Source organism: Homo sapiens, chromosome 15, assembly GCF_000001405.40.
Source record: "Homo sapiens chromosome 15, GRCh38.p14 Primary Assembly".
Taxonomy (NCBI): domain Eukaryota; kingdom Metazoa; phylum Chordata; class Mammalia; order Primates; family Hominidae; genus Homo; species Homo sapiens.
Genome location: NC_000015.10, coordinates 86,931,510 through 86,948,740, shown reverse-complemented (window position 1 = coordinate 86,948,740; position 17,231 = coordinate 86,931,510). Strand labels below are relative to the sequence as shown.

Here is a 17,231-nt window from a genome sequence, read left to right as displayed (position 1 = left end):
GCACTCTGCTCATTGCAGTTTTTCAGGGATACTAGCTAAGACATCTTGTTGGCACTCAAACAGAAAAGAATGTTCTGGCAATTAAATATTTACTTTGGAAGACATACTCATCACACGCATTCAATCACTCGTTGGCTAGAAATATGATGGGCCACGCATAATCCTCTAAGTGTACAAAGTGACCAGGAAGGGTAATCTTATGGCAGTCAAAAAACAGACAAATCAAATGAGTGGCTCTAGTGTCCACTTAGGTGAGTTTTAACCTTTTTTAAATAGATTCATTTCTTTTTCCTTCGATATTAGTATTCTTATATTTATCTTCTAATTTACCAATTCTTGTTCCATATGTGTCTACGTTTTTATTTTAAATGTCCATTTACATTTTAATTCTAATGACTATTTTTTATTTTTAAAAATGCAATATGTTCTTTTTTAAATCTGTCATTTACACATATTGTTTTGTGTTTGCTTTGGTGTTTTCTAGGTGCTCATTGGTGTATTTCATTCATCTCTTTATCAGTCTGCAGCTTATTGCCTGGGTGTCTGTCTGGTGGTGTTTGGTCTAAATCCACCTCCTCCCCCCAAGTCAGGGAGCCTCAGTGTCACTGCACATGCTAACTCATGGGGCTCTTGGTTCTATTTTTGCTTCTGTCATGCCGTAAAATGTTAAACCAGTATAGCCACAGAATTGCAGAATTGAAAGGCTCTCTTTCATCTTTTGAGGTAGATGACAACCTTAACATCATGTTAATGGGGGAAAATTATTTGATGATGTAGAGAAAAACTTCAGCTAAAGCAGATAATTAATGTTTCTCCTAATGTCCGTTATCACCAGTATAGCAGATAGCAGTATAGCAGAAAAAATACTATATTTTTAATGTAAAATCTAAAGGAAAAAACAACGTCAGATAATCTGTATGAATTATTTTATATACTAATCACAACAACTTCACAAATTTGGTATTTTTAAAATGAGTAATAAAATAAGAAATATAAGGCTAACTTGCCCTCAGTCATTCAGCTGCTACACGGTGAAGCTAGGATTTGAACCCTGGATCTCACTCAATGCCTATATCTTTTGACTCTTTTGTGCACATTTTCTTCCTTCAGTGTTGTAAAGCAATCATATGACTTACAATTTGATAACAAAATTACAACAAAGTTTGATATTTTCAAAATAAATTAATAAAAAATTCGCTGGAATTAGCTCAGCAATCCTTTCTGTTTTCGCCCTGAAGCCATGATCAGGCAAACATTTCAAAGTTCCATAATTTATCTGCAAATGATTGAGTCATAGAACAACATAAAATATGAAATATCTGACATAAAATCTACCTAAAGCAATTTATGAAATACCTGAAGGAATACTAAATTTTAAAAACCAACAATATAAATTTAGGTCAGGTCAATAAGACAAGCTTGCCAGGTTTCAGGACTAGAAATTATGCTCATGTGAGTAACTGTCCCTCAATTCTGGTATCATTCAAAACAATTACCAAAATATGAAATTAAATGGCTGATCAAATCCAAGCATATACTTAGTCAACAGGAGCCGGGCAGCTTTCATTATTCATTATTCATTAAGATCAGCAAAGAATTCCCACCACCCTTCTCAAATTTAGCATTTAATTTTCAGAGAAGCAGCAGAGATGATCTTCGTGTTTCTAGCTGATTAAGTCGGTAGTCCCTGGATAGGTTTGTGTGCTTGCAGGGAGTATTGCCACATCCTTAAAAGGTTCCTTGAAGAACTTAAAGCCCATATGAAAAGATGCCACACAGATTTCTGAGTAATGGGCAGGGGACATGCGAAGGGATGAATCAATTCCCATCTCCCATCTCACCTCCCTGTAGTATTTCTTTTTCTTTCTTTTCTATTTTGTTTTTTTTTTTTTTTTTTGGACCGAGTTTCACTCTCGTTGCCCAGGCTGGAGTGCAATGGCATGATTTTGGCTCACTGCAACCTCCCCCTCCCGGGTTCAACCAATTCTGCCTCAGCCTCCCGAGTAGCTGAGGTTACAGGCATGTGCCACCATGCCTGGCTAATTTTGTATTTTTAGTAGAGACGGGGTTTCTCCATGTTGGTCAGGCTGGTCTCGAACTCCCAACCTCAGGCGATCCACCTGCCTCGGCCTCCCAAAGTGCTGAGATTACAGGCTTGAGCCCCTGCGCCCAACCTCCTCATGGTATTTCTTAGCATTCCCCACTAGACACTTCAACAGAAATAATCATAGTGAGTCTATTAATAAATGAATAAAAGGTTTATGGACTCATGTGTTCATGTATGGAAAGGATAAATTAAGTAGATTATATATACTATATAAACTAGCACTGGAATAAATTCCACTACAAAAAAAAAGAATCCTAAATGTTATATCCTTAAGCTCAGTGAAGTATTCAAATAGCAGAATGGGAGTTTGAATTTTTATTAATTTCAGTGTTGTTTTAATTTTCTGGCCATCAGGCAAGATCCAGTCTGCTCAGCACATCACTTGTGCACGTGACTCTTCAACAACTTTTCCAAAGGCTTCTTCCAACCAAATAGTAGCCCCTTAACACTGCCTGTAATAAAATATTGCATCATAATTAGTGACCCGGGATGAACCTAGGTTGCTGTCTTTGAAAGAAATTTGAACTTAGAGTTGGGAGATGTGAGTTATAATTCTCACCCCACCTTAAAATATCTGTTTGACTTCGGGCAATTAAGTTAATCTTTCAGAAATTCTGATTCTGGAACTGTAAAATGAGAATTATAATACCTGTCTTCTGTTGAGTAGATGAAATCAGATAACGCACATGAAGGCACTTTAATGTGAAAGTGCTATACATTTGGGAAGAATTATTATTCTTTGACTCTGAGCTGTCCTTCAGCTGAATCTACTTGTAAAAACTTTGGTGAGGTCCAAAAGTATCTTTTTAAAGTGCTGTATCCCCAGACTGCTGACTAATAACAATGAATCAAAATAGAAAACATACATACACGCACACACATATGCACACACATATCATTCTACTATTCAATGAGTCAACCAATTTTAATAAGTTGTAACAGTTTTTTACTTTTCTTTTTTGAGATGGGGTCTCACTCTCTTGTCCACACTGAAGTGCAGTGGCACAATCTCAGCTCACTGCAACCTCTGCCTTCCAGGCTCAAGTGATCTTCCCACCTCAGCCTCCCAAGTAGCTGGGACCACAGGTGCATGCCACCACAACCGGCTAATTTTTTTTTGTATTTTTTGTAGAGACGGGGTTTCACCAGGTTGCCCAGGCTGTTCTCAATCCCCTCTGCTCAAGCCGTCTACCTGCCTCGGCTCCCCAAACTGCTGGGATTTACAGATGTGAGCCACTGTGCCCGGCTGGTTTTTTACTATCTTTTCTACTACCACCCATTGAATGGAAATAAATCTGTAAACTTTTTTTCTCTATCTTTACATATCGTGAACTCTTTTCATGATATCAAATATTTTCTTTATAACTTTTTTTTTTTTTTTTTTTTTTTAGTGATGGGGTCTTGCTCTGTTGCCCAGACTTGGGTGTCGTGGTAAGATCATAACTCACTGCAACCTCGAACTCCTGGTTCAGGCGATCCTCCTGCCTCAGCCTCCCAAGTAGCTAGGACTACAGTGTGCACCAGCACACCCAGGCATAACATTGTTTTATCAGCTGCTTACTATGTCATCATTTTACATGATAATTATAATTCCTATTTATTGCTATAATTTATTTACTGTGACATTGTAAACAATGATGTGACAAATTTCATAATACTTATATACACGATGACCATACATTCTGATTTGCTCAGGAAAGAGCCAGTTTACAGCCGTTGTCCTACTGTAAGTATTTAGAGAAAACCCTTTTCCCTGCAAAAGTCTCCTAGTTCGGTCAATAAATTGTATTGTCACTCTATCTTAAAGATTCTTACTTATTGCCCTTAAGAAAATTGAAAATGGAATTGCTGAGTAAAAGATGATAATTAATTCTACTTGTTTTCTAATGTGAAATACATATTCATTTCTGAAAATGAATTGAAGGTATTAAAAATTTGCAGATTTCATGAATGAAGGCATTAAAAATATGCAGATTACTTATGTAGGTACTACATATTCTTGGACTATCTTAAACAGTTATTTTTGTCCCTTCCTCTTTCAGTTCTACTGTGCGTCCCTTATGACTTCAACATTGCTAAAGTTCTGAGCAAAGCGATGTCCAGTCGAATGTTCTGTCTCTCTATCATCAGGACTGACTTTGAATTGGTCCCCTAACTCAGCTCAGTATGTTCCCCGAATGGTGCCATGCTTTCCCTGCACATGCTGGTCGGCCATCCTGAAACATGCCTGCCCTCATTATTATTATTATTATTATTTAGACGGAGTTTCACTTTTTGCCCAGGCTGGAGTGCAGTGGCACAATCTCAGCTCCCCGTAACCTCTGCCTCCCTGGTTCAAGCGATTTTCCTGCCTCAGCCTCCCAAGTAGCTGAAGTAGCTGGGACTACAGGCATGTGCCACCATGCCTGGCTAATTTTGTATTTTTAATAGAGACAGAGTTTCTCCATGTTGGTCAGGCTGGTCTCGAACTCCTGACCTCAGGTGATCCGCCCGCCTCAGCCTCCCAAAGTGCTGGGATTACAGGATGAGCCACCGCGCCCCACCCTTCATTCTTCACCTGACTCTTACTCTTCCTTCAGGTCTTATCTTAGATTTCATTTTATCTTAGGCATACTTTTTTGACACAGCATATGTTATACTGTGGCAGAGAAAGTTCGTGGTCCAAAAGTACTCCATGTGCCAGCTACATTCTCCAGTCTTCCTTGAAGTTAGGTTTGGGCCATTTGGCTGCTCCTGGCCAATGGGCTGGTGATACAGGAGCTAGAAGGAAATGATTTAGGCAGACAGCGAGGGTAAGAGAGTCCTTGGTAAGGTTTCCCTTTAATAAAAAGCAGCCTGAAAAATCAAGCTGCAAGCATAGATAAGCAAGCTAAAACTTGCATAGGGAAATGCCAGCAGCTGTGCCAATAGAAAAGGGATACCTGGAAGCCAGGTATATTCAACATGGAGGTTCCCTCTTCCTTTTTCTTCATCACCACATGTGCAGTAAAAAAGCAGGCAACATGGTGCCGGCCGGGTAGAGAACCCATCTGCATAACAAAAGATTAGGGTGGGGTGGCCAGCATCTTCACACACTGTGTGAATGGCGCACCTGGTCCAACCAATCTCTCGTGCCCTATGTAAATCAGACACCACATCCTCAAGGTCGTCTGTAAAACCCTGTGTATTTTGTCACAGAACCAGAAGACCTACTGGGGAGCTCCTGTCTCTCTGCAGGAGAGAGATATCACAGATTCCAAAATTAATAGAAATTTTGAATACTGTTTTGTGAATTTATTTTTTTCCACATCTGGATATGTTGTAATCTCTTTCCATGTCTTCTATGTCAGGATATAAAGTCCACACAAAGTTTCCAGTAGAATTGCCATTTTTCTTCTTCCTTATCATGCTAATCTTAAAAGTGATGTGTTCCAGATAGGTAGTTTCAAGATAGAACAGGACTCTTTAATTTGTATGAGACTTAGGTTAACTGAGAAATAATCCTTAAATTATTTTAAGTACCTGAGATTTTAGAGCTTTTACACTGTAACCAAATCTGTTAACTCTCCTGACTTATAGGAATCTTGGTTCCAAAAGTAGGGTAATGACGTTACAAAAACCTAATTTATGTGGCATTGAATAAGGAGTTGAGCAGTTAACAGTGAGGCTAAGAAGATGGTGATCCATTTTTTACAGTGAAAAGTGAGAACAGGTACAATGTGCCTGCAGTGTTAGAAGGAAATAATACAAAATTTAAAAGGCAGTTGTTACTGAGATATTAGCAACTATTGGTGGATTGACAAGGTATTACAAGAAAGACAAGAACTCAGTAATTCATTAGCCTCCTTATAAGTAGAAATGAACTGGAATGAAATAGAATCCAGAAAATTGGGTCCTTGCAGGGTTAGAAAAGCCGACTGTTTCTAAAGCCCAAACTGTAAGAGAAGGGATTACAAAAGGCTTTGAATCACAAACGCTCAGTAAGATAAAGTGATTCTAGGCAAAGATCAGATTGAGTTTTAAGGTATTTTAATTAAGTTGAGAGAGAGAGGTGTGAGGGAAAAAATGAAAAGTAATAAAGTGGCTCTAAAATCTATGTCTCTTCAGATGTCTAGGTGTGGTTGCTGGTTCCTGGAACTGAGTGAGAGTCCATGAGTCAGAATCTGATTAACTTTTTGAGACAATGAATAACCTAAGAAGCCACAAGTTCAGAATGTAAACATATCTTTTACTGAAACAATTCTAAAACCCTCGGAAGAAACTTCCCGACAGTAGAGTCAGGGAATCTAGAAGAAATGTCAAATGAGCCCTTCCAGGAGTAGAACCATGACTTCCTCTTGAGTCCTCCTCCACCTTAGGGGATGAAAACTTCACAGTCCTCCAAGCACAATTGCTATGGGTGGTGACTGTTGCTGTCTCCCTCACATTCCCTTTTTAAAATGGGAGTATTTACTACAGTTATCCTATTCTGGTTACACCACTGTGTACTGAATGTTTTGCGTATGTGTGTGTTTGTGTGTGTAGGTTTACAGGGGAGGCAGTTAAGGAGAAAAGGAACATCTTAGTTCTCAACTCTCTGGATCAAGAGTTGACTCTTCTGTCCTAATGGAGAGAATACTGTATATTGCCTGGTTCGAGTTGGATGCCTGTGCTATTCATCCATTGCCTCTCAGTTCCAATATCACCCTTTTTACTGCCTTGTTGAAATAAATCTGCAATCTTAACTCTTTTTCTTCCACCAGCTAGCACTAATTCACTACAAGGCACTGGAGAGAGATTCTGGCAGAGAAGAATTTTGCCTCCTGCTTCTGGCATGTTCCCTGGGCCTGCTCCTGTAGTGTGCATGGTTCTCCTGCATCAGGCTCTGCATTGCATGGCAGTCAGCAGCTCTCAATGGCTGGCACCTTGCCTGGCAGCTCTTCTTTGAGCACTTTGTTGTAGAGTGCCTCCAGTAAGAAAGATGCCTCCTGGTGAAGTTTTCCTGGAGGGCAGTTTTCCAGCAAATTCCAAAGGGCCTATTTCCAGCAAGATCTGCCAGGATGGCTTCTCTACGTATATTATCTCTATATACAGTGACTTCTCTGCCATCATGAGCCACAAAATGGCCTCTCCAGCCAGGTTGGATCTCAGCTTTGGGTGGGGAATGGCCACTGCAGAGGGCTCTTCCTTGGGCGTGATGTCTCTGCTCCATAGCTGTGACTGTTCGTCATGTTTACTATTTCTATGTTCTTTAGAGTTCTCGACTTCCAGTGACCTAATTCCTGATTACTCCAATTCCCTATTAGAATATTTATATTACCATAACTGTTAAAGTACTGTGTAGTTTTTCTCCTGACTGACCCAGAAATTACAACGTCCTGACAGGGTTGAGCTTTAGCTTTTCCTCCTGGGGAAGTGTGAATACATTTCAAATGTGGAGGAAAAGAGTCTCAGAATATTTAACCAAAAGCCAAAGAGTTTGTGCTCTTCAAATATATCCATTCATCTTGTAAATGTCACAGTCTCCTTTGCAAGTAGATTCCATGTTACTTAGAACCATGTTTTTTACTTCATATCACAGCACGCATAGGACCAAAGAGTATGGTTTATCTACTGATTGCTTTTGCCAAAAGACAAAGTTACAAGAATTACATTTAAAGATCTAAGGTTGCTTTATTTGAGGTCCTAGAATTGGGCAACACTTCATTTCATAAAATGGAATAAGTTCCAGTGAGCTGAGCAGAGGACATTGGTTTTATAGGCAGAGCAGGGCTGAAGAAAGCAGAAACAAAGAACAGGAAGTGATTGGTCCTTTCAAATTTATATTTCTTGTAAGGTAGGAAAACAGAAACAAAACAATAGAAAAGTGATTGGCTAACATCAAGTTACTTCAGGTTACTTTTTGTTTAAGAGTTAAAGGCAGAGGGAACTTCATTACCACGCCAATTGAAACTGGCCTGTTTGGGAAATTTGCCTATCTCTCCCTCCAGATTTCTCAAGTTGGATAACTCAGTTTTGGTTTGGTGATGTGGAGCCTCAGCATAAGTGACTCCATTTTGACTTTTAGTTTGGTCTGTTGGGCCCTTGTGTGTGCACTTAGTTTGTAACAATTTCCTTCTATAATTTTTATTCAACACTCTTATAAGTTCCCTGAAGGTAGGGACCATGGCTTAGTGGTCAACATTATATGCCAGGTATTCAGCATATAACCAGTACTTAATGAGTATTTGTGATTCAATGAGTGAGTGCCTGATCACTCAGAGAGATTACGTTTCTTGGACACTTACCATGTGCTGTCAATCTTCTAAATAGTTTGATAAATCATCTCAGCTGAAACAGCAACTCTATGAGGTCTATATTATTATTATCTCCATTTTACAGATCAACAAATTAAGAGGTTAAGTTTTTCTAAAAGAAAGTGTGTTTCAAACAAGACATACCAAATCAAAGGGCTCCATTAGAAACAGTGCACTCAACCGGGCACAGGCTCATGTCTGTAAGCACTTTGAGAGGCCAAGGCAGGTGGAGCTCTTGAGCATAGAAGTTCGAGCCCAGGCTGAGCAACACAGAGAAACCCCGTCTCTACCAAAAAAAAAAAAAAAAAAAAAAAAAAAAGGACTACCAAAATTAGCTGAGTTTGTTGACACATGCCTGTAGTTCCAGCTACTAGGGAGGCTGAGGTGGGAGGATTGCTTGAGCCTGGGAGGTCAAGGCTGTGGTGAATCAATAATGGTTCCACCTGGGCCAGTGTAAGACCCTGTCTGGAAAAAAAAAAGCATATATATATAAAATAAAAAAAGAAACAGCGTACTCTATTCTCTCCCATGGTTATCAAGATTCTGCCAAAATTACTGGTGCATTTGGCTGACTTTCTTCCTTATTCCAGTCTTCTGCTTATTTGCCACTCAGGTGATCAGCAAAAGCTCAGAAAGAGTGGTACTGATGGAGAGGATAAATGCTTACCCAAACTCACATAAGTTGGCATATCTGCAGGGAAACATCACGTTAGCCTTTGAGGAGAGAGGTAAGTTATTAGGCTGTATTAGGATTCTTTAGAGGGACAGGACTAACAGGATAGATGTATATTTGAAGGGGAGTTTATTAAGGGGTGTTGACCCACACGATCACGAGGTGAAGTCCCACAATAGGCTATCTGCAGGCTGAGGAGCAAGGAAGCCAGTCTGAGTCCCAAAATCTCAAGAGTAGGGAAGCCAACAGTGCAGCCTTCAGTTTGTGGCGGAAGGCCTGAGGGCCCCTGGGAAATCATTGGTGTAAGTCCAAGAGTCCAAAAGCTGAAGAACTTGGAGTCTGATGTTCAAGGGCAGGAAGCATGCAGCACAGGAGAAAGATGAGGGTCAGAAGACTCAGCAAGTCTGCTCTTTCTATCTTCTTCTGCCTGCTTTATTCTAGCTGAGCTGGCAGCTGATTAGACGGTGCCCATCCAGATTGAGAGTGGGTCTACCTCTCCCAGTCCATTGACTCAAATGTTAATCTCCTTTGGCAATACCCTCACAGACACACCCAGGAACAATACTTTGCACCTTCAATCCAATCAAGTTGACACTCAATATTAACCATCACACAGGCTATGCAGGGATCCAAACAAGAAAATGTGTAACAATTTCAGAAGTGGCAAAAAGCAACAACGAGATGGAAAAAGATGTGAAGGATGTGACAGTGAATGTGGGTCACCCCCAAGGCTCTTTGTGGCAAGACAACGCTGGAGCTTCTCCTTTGCATGAAACTGATTGATGCTGCAAGGTCCTGAAGGAAGACAGATGTTTTTTGTTTTGTTTTGTTTTAGTGCAGTTCTCCAGTAAAAAGAAAACCCAGGCGGTGAATAAATTCAGTCTTCTCCTTTGGGAGAAGTTCACTTCTACTGGGGCCAGAATCTGCTTTTACATACCCTGAACTAGAGGATCAGAGTATCCTCAAAAGGCTTTCTTGGTACTTCAACTCTGATATCCACCCATCCTTAGAACTACGGCTGCTGCTCCAAAACCTCATACCTTGCTTTCTCCAACCCCTGAGAGAGAGATATTGGCTTGAGTTAGTCTCAATTTTGTTAGGTATCCTGGACTAGGTGCTTGGAATGGCTGAGTGTCCCTCCAAGCAGATGGAACAGCCCCCATGCCATTCTTCCATATTAGTTGGAAATACGTTCAGCTGCCTGAATTAGAAAATCCCATGACAGAGGCATTAGGGAACAACACTTTGGTTTTCTCCAAAAGATCAGGGAGGTAGGCAATTACTATGATTATTTTAGTAGCTCTACCAAATTAGGTCAAAAGTTTCTTCCATTTTTGTGGCCTTCCTCTCCTGGTCACAGCGAGGTTACTGACACTCAAGCCATCATATCTGTGTCCCGTGCAAGATGGGAAGACTATAAAAGGGGAAAGGGCTCTTGGAGGCCATTCTATTTTCTATAATCAGGAAAGCAAATATTTTCATAGCTCATCTCTTCACACCCACTTCCCAGCAGACTTCCATGGGCAGCAAGTCTTCCCACAGAAGCAAGGGAAGCTGGAAAATTAGGGACCACACTTATCAGAAGTGTCTCTGCACAATCATGCCTTGGAATGGATATGTTGCTGCACCCCAAAAAAGTAGTGTGTCTCAAAACAAGGAACAATAAGAGACTAAATACTTGATGGGCAACCAACTGTATTGGCCATTTCTTCTATTTAATTTAATACATCAGACCTTACTCTGCTTCCCTTAGCTGTATGGTCTCACCTCTTGCAATTCTACTTTGAGGTCCCTGCATGCTTTACGTCCAGGCTGTAGAAGGATTGAGCCTGCTGAGGCTGTGCAACAGGGTAGTACATAGCATGTAATATTTTACAGGTTGAAAGAAACTTTTGTTTTAACTTTTATTTTAGTTTTGGAGGTACATGTGAAAGTTTGCCACATAGGTAAACTCATGTCATGGGGGTTTGTTGTACAGATTATTTCATCACCCAGGTATTAAGCCCAGTATCCAATAGTTATCTTTTCTGCTCCTCTCCCTCCTTCCATCCTCCATCCTCAAGTAGAACTCAGTGTCTATTGTTTTCTTCTTTGTGTGCATAAGTTCTCATCATTTAGCTCCCACTTATAAGTGAGAACATGTGATATTTGGTTTTCTGTTCCTATTTTAATTTGCTGAGGATAATGGCCTCTAGCTCCATCCATGTTCCTGCAAAGGACATTATTTCATTCCTTTTCATGGCTGCATAGTATTCCATGGAGTATATGTATTACACTTATCCAGTCTACGACTGATGAGCATTTAGATTGATTCCATGTCTTTGCTATTGTGACTAGTGCTGCAATGAACATTTGTGTGCTTATGTCTTTATAGTAAAATGATTTATATTCCTCTGGATATATGCGCAGTAATGAGATTGCTGGGTTTAATGGTAGTTCTGCTTTTAGCTCTTTGAGGAATCACCATACTGCTTTCCACAATTGTTGAACTAATTTACACTCCCACTAACAGTGAATAAGTGTTCCCGTTACTCCACAACCTCACTAGCATCTGTTACTTTCAGACTTTTTCATAATAGCATTCTTAGAGGTGTGAGATGATATCTCATTGTGGTTTCCATTTGCATTTCTCTAATGATCAGTGATATTGAGCTTTTCTTCATATGCTTGTTGGCTGCATGTATGTCTTCTTTTGAAAGGTGGCTGTTCATGTCCTTTGCCCACTTTTTAATGGGGTTGTATGTTTCCTTTCATAAATTTATATAAGTTCCTTAAGGATGCTGGATATGAGACCTTTGTCAGATGCATAGTTGGAAAATATTTTCTCCCATTTTGTAGGTTGTCTGTTTACCGTGTTAATACTTTCTTTTTCTGTGCAGAAGCTCTTAAGTTGAATTATATCCCACTTGTCAATTTTTGCTTTTACTGCGATTGCTTTTGGTGTCTTTGTTATGAAATCTTTGTCTGTTCCTATGTCTAGCATGGTATTGCCTAGGTTGTCTTCCAGGATTTTTTACAGTTTTGGGTTTTACAATTAAGTCTTTAATTCATCTTGTGTTGATTTTTGTTTATGGTATAAGGAAGAGGTCCAGCTTCAATCTTCTACATATGGCTAGCCAGTTATCCAAGCACCATTTATTGACTAGGGAGGCTTTTCCCCATTACTTGTTTTTGTCAGAGAAGAAATATTTTAATAGTCCTGATAACATTCCCGTATCTTGAATGTCCTGCTAACATTCCCCTATCTACAAAGCATAGCACCTGGGGTGGTGTTGAGTCTGGATTCCTTGGAAGTGTCAATATACACCAGATAATGGCCAGTTTTCCACAAGAATATAGATGACTAGCACTTCCTGTCACAATACCTGGCACAGTGAGTAATTTACTTTTGTTTTTTTTCTTGTTTATCTGTTGTTCTCTCTCTCTTTCTCTCTCTGTCACACACACACACACACACACACACACATACATACACACTGCTGTTTACAATTTGGCAATGCATTTGTTGTCCATTCAAAAGCACTCATTGACAAAGATGGGCTCTCTCGAGTGTGGCTGAGATGGTGTGCACTTAGTGGCACTGCAGAACCCCAGGGCCTGGGCACCAGGGCTGCACCTGCCGAGCAGCCCGCCTGTGAGACCCATCCTCGGCCGCTCTGCTGCTCAGTGGCGGCCTCTGCCTTGCCTGCTGGAGCAGGGCTCTTCAGCCGAGGACAGGACAAGTCTCTCCTTTATTCAAGTCTTTCACTGAGCTCCCAGAGCTGCAGTTGCGAATCTTTTGTTTTTATTTGTAAACTAAGTGAATTTGACCTGGAAATCACCAAAGGGGAATACATTTGGAACATTGAAATGCCATTTTTACAGGCACATTTCTAATCATAGCTGCCCTTTAAAACCCACATACAATTGTCACCTTGAGTTCCCCTGTTTTCCAGCCTCAGTGCGGCTCTCTTTGCAAATCCCACAGCATGACAACAACAAGATTTCATTTTTAGTCAGACTTGACACTGGCTAAACACTAACGTGGGCTCTTTATGTTTCCATAAACTCTCTTATCACAGAGCCACCAGTAGAGCATGGGAAACTGAAAAATAAGTTCCAATTAGAGACTGTGTTGGTCCACTCAGGGTGATATGGCTCCCAGTGTTTTTAGAGAGGGAAAGAGCATAAAAGAAGAAGGCTGTGTGCCCCAGCTTGCCCCTGAAGGAGCTGTGACCACTATGGTGGCATGGGGAAATGTCACTCATTAGCTGGCTTGCCTCCTAGCCTAGAATTTGTTCTTACCTTCTCTGTCTTCTCCTAAGCCATCCCTTTCTCTGAGCAAATCCAATGCCTTAGAGCACCACCAATGTATTCACGTGTACAATTAATTTTAATGTCACATGTATAACCATAACTCCGTGTGGTGACTCACAGTGCCCGCATTATCCTCTTTGCCAAGTAAATGGTAAAACACTGAACGACCCTCTAATTGATCTCTGGGGTCACAACAAGACCTGACAACGGGACTCACCAGGCACAAGAACATGATGGAGAAGTCTGAAAACAGAAAATGGAGAGGAATCGGGGAGAAAATCCGCTGAGTTCATTTTCACTCCCATAATGAAAAGAAATCTGGTTCAGCCTGGAGGATTACAAAATAGGACAAGACCAAGGTGACCCCAGCTGCAGTGTAAATTTATTTTATAGTTTTTACATTTTAACTTAAATGCTACATTTGTCCCATTTATTATGGCACAAGGTTGGAAAATTTGGTGTGATATCAGGAGGAGAATGGATCCAGAATATCTGGAGTATGTCTTATCGTCCTACCAACAATTTCCCCAAAATCAGTGTTTAAAAAATATTTATCAATATATGTAGAGGTTATTTTGGCAGCCCATGGAAAAAGGGAACTTACTATTTTCCTCACCATGTATCTGGTACCCAGAAGTAACCACAATAATAAATAACTACACTATTAAAAGGCAACATTTATTGTGTGCTTACTTTGAGCCAGATACTGTTGAAGTACTGTATTAACCAGCTCCAGGGGCTATAATCTTAATCATGACATCCTATTGACCCTGTAACTTATAAATATAACATAGTATGCAGTTAATAAATATTTATTTTAGCCATCTCCAAGAACTTTGGGAGACAGTTTTGTTCTGCTATTTACTTTTTTTTTTTAACCTATATAAGGTTTGAAATGGAGAAATAAGATAATAGCAAGGAGGAAGTCTGTAAGCACAGAACATACTGGCTTGTTTATTCTGCCTCTCTCTGGTTCAGATGAGGGAATATAGTTGAAGATTCACACATTCTGGTCTATTGTTCTAAATGGATGATCCCAAAGACTTATTCTTGGCCAATAGGGAGCTGTTAGACCTTTTTCTTGCTTTAACAGCTTTCTGGACACTTAAAGAGATAAAATAAGGAATAAATCATTTGATGCCCCTACTTTGCCACTGGGAACATTGGGTTAACAGCACTCACAAGCTGCAGAACAAGTCTCCTTGGAGAGGTGAATTCACTTACTCCTCTCCCCAGCTCACAGCAGCTTTTAGCTGTTTATCATAATTCTGACCTCTGAGCATAAATTTGAAGAGATAATGGATGAAAAAACACTCTATTAAAAGTATAGTGCAGGAAGCCAGTGCTCTCTGATGATTTTATTATTTTGTTTCTATAACTGAGATTCATCATAGAATCCACAGACGGAGAACATTAGAGATGATCTTGCCCAACTTGTTCAATTTTTAGACGGAAGAATTGAAGATGGAGAAACTTAATAAGGCCACAGAGCTTGTACTGGGCAGTGTTAGAACCTCAACCAAGATCTCCTGACATCCAAACTAGAGTTGTTTTTCCCAAAGTGGCAATTCCTCCGGCAAGGGAGCCTATGTTATATGCATTGCATAAGACACTGGGGAATACAAAGAGATGGGTGTAAGAGAAGACTTAGTGGTTAGAATAGAGCTATTCTTTGAAGGAACCGGATACACGGAAAGTGGGTAGAGTGAAATAAAACACAGGCAGGCAGATAAAACGTGATCATTGAGGAGGGGATGTAATCACCTAGCAGGTTCTTCCTGCCTGCTGCACAGACAAATCCAATTCCCTGAGACTGTGGTATTGCAGTCAAGAAAGGAGTTTAACTGATGCAAGGCCAGACACACAGGATAACTGGAGTTGATCTCAAAAGATCAATCTTAGGTTCTACAATAGAGATGAGATCTATGAGAGCAATTGGGGAAGTCACAAATCTTGCGACCTCTGGCTACATGACTCCTGAGCTGTAATGAGCTATAGAAATTATGCCTACATTTGAGCAGAATTCAGACCCCTCCCATATCCCTTATTTTGTGGCCTTTTGGTTTCATCCCCCAAACAAGGAGGGGATCAGTTGTAGGGAGGGACTATTATCATCCTTGCTTCAAAGTTAAACTAAAAACTAAAGTCCTCCCATGGTTATCTTGGCCTCTGCCCAGGAATGAACAGGGACAGCCAGCCTGTAAGGCTACAAGCAGGATGGAGTCAGCCACGTTAGATTTCTCTCACTTCCATAATCTTTGCAAAGGTGGTTTCAGAGAAACTGTTAAGGTCATGTTTGAAGACTAGTTATAGATTAGACTAGCACATGAAAAGTCTCAAACAGCAGAATTAAAGGCAGTCTATCTTGTTTAAAATTCTATTATTATTTATTCAACTGCATATTCACAAATTATGCCTCAATATTTAGAAGAATGACTTACACTTAGCCTTAAAAAATCACCATGGAGATGACAGCTGACTAACAATTCTGTTTCCACCAGGAAGGCTCTCACAGACAGTCAAGACCAGAACATTTTTTTCAAGCACTTAAAACATTGGCTAAAAGTCTTCTCATCAGAAAGAAAATCAGTCCAGATTCAAGTAACTAGACTTAATGGGACAAAACTTCCATAAAAGGTTAATTTCTGCCTTCAGCAAAACATTCATAATGGGCCATTATATGGTAAGCAGTGAAGCAGGAGAATGGGGAGTCAGCCATAGTTGATGTCATTGCAAAGCGATTTTGGAAAAAAATACAAGACTCAGGACCAACCCCTGTCCTTGCTTCACGGAGTTGACTAAATGTGACCTAACTGATTGTCTCTGAAGACTGGTGATTTGATTTATTCTCAGCAATTCTCTTTTCAAACAATTCTCTGGCTTCAACACCCACGCAAAGCTATTATACATAGCAAGAAGGGAAGGAAAGAGTTTCCACGCACCCTTTGAAACAGGTCCTAAACACTATCAAATCAGCTTATCCACACAGCAGTCCATTTTAGAACCTGAAAGATCTGAACTGCTGGCATTAATCAAATGACTTGAGTAATGCCTGAACACCCCTTCTCCACTTTTAAATGTGTTGACAGAGCCTAAAGTTAATGGTCAGGTCTATCCTTGCAGTAATATCATGTTTAGAAATTACTTCGTTGTTTATATGCACTTAGGGAATTTTACATTATACATTAGCAATAGTTGATATAACAGGGCTCTTCAAATGGGAGGGTGTTGGAAGGAGTCTTGTGTTAGGTCTTGGGAAACCTGGGTTTGAGTCCTGTCTTTCCTACCTGAATGACCTCAGGAACTAATTATATTTTAGCCTCACTTCCTCCGTGAGTAAACTGTACAAGCTAGATAAGATAAATTTAAAATCCCTTCCAGCTTTATAACTCTATGATTCCACAATTACATTCATTTTGTCCTTCAGAATATCAAACAGAACCACAAGTAGGCATTTAATAAACATTGCTAGATAGCATCACACTTGATTTTTTTTTACTGCTTGCATGTCTTCCCCTAAACCATTCAAGAATTTTAAAGTATTCAAATAAAGATTCTGCAAATTGTACATTTCATTTTGCTTATATATTTAGGCAACCATGATGCCTTCAGGGTTATAGTTATAAATGATGGCACTGGCTTGTTTTAAGAAGCAAATAACTCTAGGAAAATAGAATTCAGAGTATTTCTACCCAAGGTCCCCCCTCCACCTCACACCACACACATACCTTAAAATTTCAGAAACGTATCAAATGAAAAAGATTTGTTAGCATGGAATTGATCAATACAACAACCAGCAGCAGCAGCAGCAGCAGCAGCAGCAGCAGCAGCAGCAGCAGCAGCAAAAGCACCACTATTCATTTTGTTGCTGTAATTTTTCAGTGAAATAATGTAATTTTTT

General features: G+C 40.0%; 1 protein-coding gene and 2 long non-coding RNA genes across 4 annotated transcripts in view; 1 reads left to right on the top strand and 2 right to left on the bottom strand.

The window, feature by feature from the left end:
• Positions 1-9,944, top strand: part of LOC102724452 (uncharacterized) — a 49,630-nt gene extending 39,686 nt beyond the window's left edge. The window contains exons 2-3 of the long non-coding RNA NR_135683.1: positions 8,975-9,089; positions 9,651-9,944. This is a non-coding gene — a long non-coding RNA (uncharacterized LOC102724452). The remainder of the gene's footprint in view (positions 1-8,974; positions 9,090-9,650) is intronic.
• AGBL1 (AGBL carboxypeptidase 1) overlaps positions 1-17,231 on the bottom strand; it is a 951,857-nt gene that overhangs the window by 82,736 nt on the left and 851,890 nt on the right. The gene's annotated exons all lie outside the window — the stretch shown is intronic.
• LOC105370954 (uncharacterized) lies at positions 2,410-15,861 on the bottom strand. The gene is made up of 3 exons (NR_135682.1): positions 15,772-15,861; positions 13,548-13,658; positions 2,410-2,559 (listed from the first exon to the last, which is right to left on the bottom strand). It is a non-coding gene; the product is annotated as an uncharacterized LOC105370954 (long non-coding RNA).